This window comes from Homo sapiens, chromosome 3 (genome assembly GCF_000001405.40).
Source record: "Homo sapiens chromosome 3, GRCh38.p14 Primary Assembly".
NCBI classification, from domain to species: Eukaryota; Metazoa; Chordata; class Mammalia; order Primates; family Hominidae; genus Homo; species Homo sapiens.
Window position 1 is genome coordinate 1569664 of NC_000003.12, and position 6060 is coordinate 1575723.

A 6060-nucleotide genomic window follows, 5' to 3' on the forward strand; every position below is an offset into this window, starting at 1 on the left:
TGTGCAAATATGTTTTCTCAGCCTGTGGCTTGCCTTTTTATATTTATAACAGTGTCTTTTGAAATGCAAAGGTTTTAAATTTTAATGAAGTCAAATATATTGTTTCCAATTTATATGTCTTTCTATTTGTGTTATGTTTAAGAAATCTTTGCCAAACCCAAGAAACTAAGATGTTTCCCTGTTTTCTTCTGGAAATTATATAGTTTTAGCTGGCATATTTAGAACTATAGTACAGTTGGTTTATTTGAAGTAAGTTTTTGTATATGGTATAGTTTTAATTTTGTACATGATGTAATGTTAATTTTTTACATGGTTAACTGACTGATTGCAAATGGCTATTTAATTGTTCTAGAAGTAGTTGTTGAAATGATTACAATTTTTCCATTGATTTTCTTTAGCATATGTATCAAAAAATTGATCATATATGCTCGGCTGTATTTCTGAACTCTATTCTGTTCTATTCATCCATTTGTCTTTACATCAATGTTACACTGCCTTGATTACTATAGTTTTCAATATGTCAAAAGTTAGTAGTGTAAGTTTTACTTTGTTTTGTTTTCAGCATTGTTAGCCTTTTAATTTGCATATGGATTTTATAATCACTCTGTTAATTTCTACAAATAATCATGTTAGGATATGGCGTGAGATTTAATCAAATCAGTAATAAATTTGGGGAGTAGTAAAATTGTTGACAATATTGATTAATGTGATATGTGAACATTTATTCAGATCTTATTTAATTTCTCTGAGCAAGATTTGGAGGCTTACATTGCACAAGTCTTTCAAAATTTTTATCAAATTTTTCCCTATTTACATTTCTGATACTAGTAAATGGCATTTCACCATTAAGTATAGCATTAACTAGCAGTTAATCACTTTTATTGGCCTTTTCAAAGAATCAATCTTTAGTCTTATTGATTTTTCTCTATTTTTAATGTTTTATTTTTTGTTAATTTATATTCCTTTTTCCTATTTTAGGTATAATTTGTTCTTCTTTTTTAGTTTCTTAAGATGATACTTTGGGTCATTTATTTGAAACTTCTTTTCTTTTATAACATAAGGGTTTAGAACTATAAAATTTTCTTTAAATACTGGTTTAGTGTATTCCACAAATTTTGATATGTTGCTTTTTCATTTTTATCCAAATCACAATAAATTCTAATTTTTTTTGAGATGGAGTCTTGCTCTGTTGCCCAGTGCAGTGGCAAGATCATGGCTCATTGCAGCCTCAAACTCCTGGGCTCAAGTGATCTTCCCACCTCAACCTCCAAAGTGTCAAGGACTACAGGCATGCCACCATGCTGTGCTAATTTTCTAAAAATGTAGTTGGAGTGATGGGGTCTCACCATGTTGTCCAGATTGGTCTCAAACTTCTGGACTTAAGCAATCTTCCTGCCTTGGCCTCCTAAAGTGCTGAGATTACAGATGCAAACCACGGCCTGGCCTTAATATTTCTTTGACCCATGAGATAGTAGAAATGATAATTTTTTGGCTCCATGAATTTGGAGATTTTGAAAATAGCTTGATTGGTTTCTAATTTAATTTAAATATTGTCTTTGAACATATTTTGTATTATCTGAATCAGATCAAATGTGCTGGAGACTTGTCCTTTATTGAGAATGTGGTCTGTCCTAGTGTACTTCAAAATAATGTATATTCTACTGTTTGTTGGGTAGAATTTTCTAGTAATTTCAAATAGGTCAATTAGTTCAAATTGGTTGATAGCACTGTTCAATATGCTTTCTAACTTTTTGTCTACTTGTTTTATAACTTATTAATAGAAAGGCATACACATTTTCAACTATAACAGCACATTTGTCCATTTCTTCTGTTTGGTCAGTTTTTGTCATGAATGTTGAAGCTCTGTCACTAGATACATAAATATTTGGTTTGTTCTCTCATCTTACTGAATTGATCTTTCATCATCATCCAATAACCCTTTTTATTTCAGGTAGTGTTCACTGTTCTGAAATCTATTTCATCTAATATCAATATAGGTCCTCCTGTTTGGTGTGGGTTAATGTGGGACTAATCTGTTTTTCATCCATTTATCGTTAAGCTTTTTGTATACTGGAGATGTGTTTAAAATAGTATTTCTACTTTCAGCCAAGGTATATTTACCCTTTCTACCACAAACAACTAGAAAACTGGACAAAACATATCAAACAGTTGTTTCCAACACAGAACATCATGCAGTGCAGAGCAGTAACTCCTGAAATAGTGGAAACAAGTGAAGTGAGTTCTTCAATTAAAGCAGCTTACTGCATGGAGACTGCTTCCAGGCAGCAGTGGAGAAGCAGAGAACTAATGCAGAACTCAATGGACACACTCTGAGCTGCAGAAATGGAGTTGAAAGTGAAAGGTTGATGAACTTGTGGAAATAGAATTAGACCATTAGACCAGAAAAAAAAACTAAAAAATAAGCAGAATATTATTGAACTCTGGGATAACTTTAAGTGACCTAAAAAATAGGCAACTGTAGTTCCTGAAGGAGAACGAGGAGAGTGAGAACAAAACAGAACAAATTTTAAAGATATAATGTCTCATTTTTTCAAAATTTGAAGGAAACTAGAAATAAACAGATCTGAAAATTCATATACATCCCAAGCACAAGATACATAAAAAAACTACATTAAGCCACATTGAAATCAAATTTCTGGAAGCAGCTGATAAAGACACTATGCTAACAGCAGTCAGAAAAAGAAAAGACACATTACATACTGAGGAGTAAGATAAGAATGGCAGAAGAGTTCTCATAAGAAACAAAGTGAGCCAGAAGACAGCGGAATAGCATCTCCAAACTACAGAAAGAATAATCTGTCAACCTAGTATTCATAGCGGCAATATCTTTCACTAATGAAGACAAAATAAAGACTCTTCAAGCATAATCATTCAAGAAGCATTTATCACCAGGAGACCTACCCTTGAGGAAATGTTAAAGAAACTCCTACAGGCAGAAGGGAAAAGATTCCATATGAAAATCTAGATCTTCACCAAGGAATGGAAAACCATGCAAACAGGAAATTGGTGTATAAATATATGAGGGTTTTTTTCCCTATTTTTAAAGTCTATTAAAAATTTGACTATGTAAAACAAATATAATAACAATGTATATGCTAGTTTATAACACATGTAGAAATAAAATATAAAAATAATAGCACAAAGGATGGAAAAGGAAGCATAACATTATCGTTTGTTTTTAAAATTATATCCTTGAAATGGTATAATATTACCTATAGATAGACTTATTACATTATAGGTATGTCCTATAAACTCTAAAACAGCTACTAAAAAGGAATCATTGGTCTACCAAAGAGATAAAATGAAATTATAAAATCATAATTAATCCAAAAGAAGGCAGTAAACGAGTAAAAGTAGATTAATAATATGTCACAAATAGAAAAATAGATTGTAAGATGATATATTGTAACCCAACTGTGTTAATAATCATAGCAAATGTAAATGGTCAAAGTACCTCTATTATAAAGACAGAGACTGTCAGAGCAGATTAAAAAACAAAACAAGCAAGATTCAAGTACAGTAATGTGTCATTTAATAATAGAGGTACATTTTGAGAAATGCATCACTAAGCAATTAAGTCATCGTGCAAACATCATAGAGTGTACACTCATTTCGCAGTATCCACAGGAGATTGGTTCCAGGATTTCCCACAGATACCAAAATCCATGGATTCTCAAATCCCTTATATTAAATGTCACAGGATTCATATATAAACTATGTATATTCCCCTGTATACTTTAAATTATCTATAGATTACTTATAATACCTAATACAATGTAAATTCTATGTAAATAGTTGTTATATTGTATTTTAAATTGATATTGTTTTTATTGTTGTTTTCATTTAGCTTTCCAAATATTTTTTATCCGTGTTTGGTTGAATCTATGGATGCAGAACCTACGGATATTACAGGGCTGGCTCTACTTGCACAAACCTAGGTGATATAGCCTATGACATTTCTATATATGACAAGGCTATATGGTATAGCCTTTTGCTCCTGGGCTACAAACTTGTACAGCATGTTATTCTACTGAATACAGTAGGCAATCGTAACACAAAGGTGATCATTTATGTATCTAAATATAGAAAAAGGACAGTAAAAATGCAGGATTATAATCTTATGAGACTGCCATTCTATACATGGTCAGTCATTGACTGAAACATTGTTACGCAGCACATGACTGTGTATGCTGCTTATAGCTATGTAGCCAAGGTATTCCTTTTACATCTTTAAATGTCCAAACAAAATTATTAACTGTAGAAAAATAAAGCACCAAAAAACCTAGATTTGAATTGTGCACCTTGCTCAAAACAAAACTAATGAATTAAAACTTTGAGGATAAGATTTGAGCACAATTTTGCAAAATTAGCTTGAAGTAGTAGGCATGGGATAAAGAAAGTTTCTAATCCCCACCTACTTCTCTATCTCTAGCTCATTATTTCTTCTGAATTTACCCTACAGTCTTGTTAATTCACACTCAACTCTTCAATTTTCCCTTTACCTCTCTTTACCATTCCTTTGTGCCTTTGCATATACTGTTCTATCTGCCTGAAACCCCCTTTCTACACTTCTGTATCTAGGTAAGTTGTGCTCATTTTTCAAGACTTGGTTCAAATCTTCTCTTTGAAGACTTTCTGATTTCTCCAAGTTATGTGATTATATTTACACTTACATAATGATACATGGCTTGAAACAAAGCATTCTCTTTTAACCCTTGATACAGCCCCTGAGTCAGGCATTACTTTTTTTTTTTACGATGAAAAAAACTTGGGACGAGAAATTAGATGAATTGTAAAAAATCTTATGTACAACATATGACAGAATCAAGACTTGAATAGCAGCCTTATCACTCATTGTAGTGTATCACGGTAGGTTCACAATAAGGGACAGGATATATGTTGTCACAGTGTTCTTTCTCAGTGAAGTGCTTATATATTCAATAAGCTAATGGAAATACTCTCTGAGCTTCTTACAAGGCTTATGGTAGGTATGTAAACAATGCTTGCTTCAGTCTCCATTAAATCACTTTAAATGAGATACTGTGAGTATACACAATAATGCTATTCAAATGCTTTTGTGAGCAAATGAGATTTTCTGCTTAAATTCTTCTATCATCTTTTTCCTATTTTCAGAAAGAAAATGGGGACAATTGCAATAATGGAAATGCAAGTGACTGGATTAGTCAATAGCATTGTTGAACTAAGTTAACAAACACCTTAGCTTTTCATGAACAATGATATAGCTAAACTGATTAACATAGAATGATATCAGAATTAGCTCATCACATTCATTTTTCTTCTTATCAGGAGTGACACTGTTGTAGCAGAGCAGTTGTTTTCTAGCTGGTATCTGTCATCATATATAAGATTATAACTGTGACATTGATTTTTTCCCATTATAATAGAGTGGATGTACCCTGCTTAGGTTTGAATGTAGGGCATTCTATGAACCTCAGAAAAAAACAGCTGGTAAGGAAAGGGAGGAACAAATAGGCCAGAACTAAGAGATATACATTGGCTACGGAACTGGCTTTTCCAAAGATTCTGATGAGCAGAGCAAGTCACAAATTCCAGTTGGCAGACTTAGGTATGATTTTTCCTGTTGTAGACTTTCAAGAGGAAATGATGAGATTGTAGAAGCATGTCAAAAAAGATTGTAGGCACCGATGATGCTCATCAAGTAAATGGCAACACCTTCATTTGGTTCACATTCCCATTAACCACTCTGTGATGGCCAAGTGTTTGGACTGGATGTAAACAGGATTCTACCCAACAATTAGAAACATGGAGAGAGTCTCCAATGTAGATCTGACAAGCAGTTCATCTCTAGATATATAATAGACTTCAAATTAAGAGCATAACTTCTTGAAGTTTGAGCTCTTCATGTTTAAGGTTTGGTCCTAACTGGGTTTAATGGAGCAGAAACTGCTAAATGAAGGACTTAAGTACTTACTTAATAAGTAAGTATATAGTAGATATATATATATAGAGAGAGAGAGAGTAGATATACTATATAGTTATATATAGTATATATATACA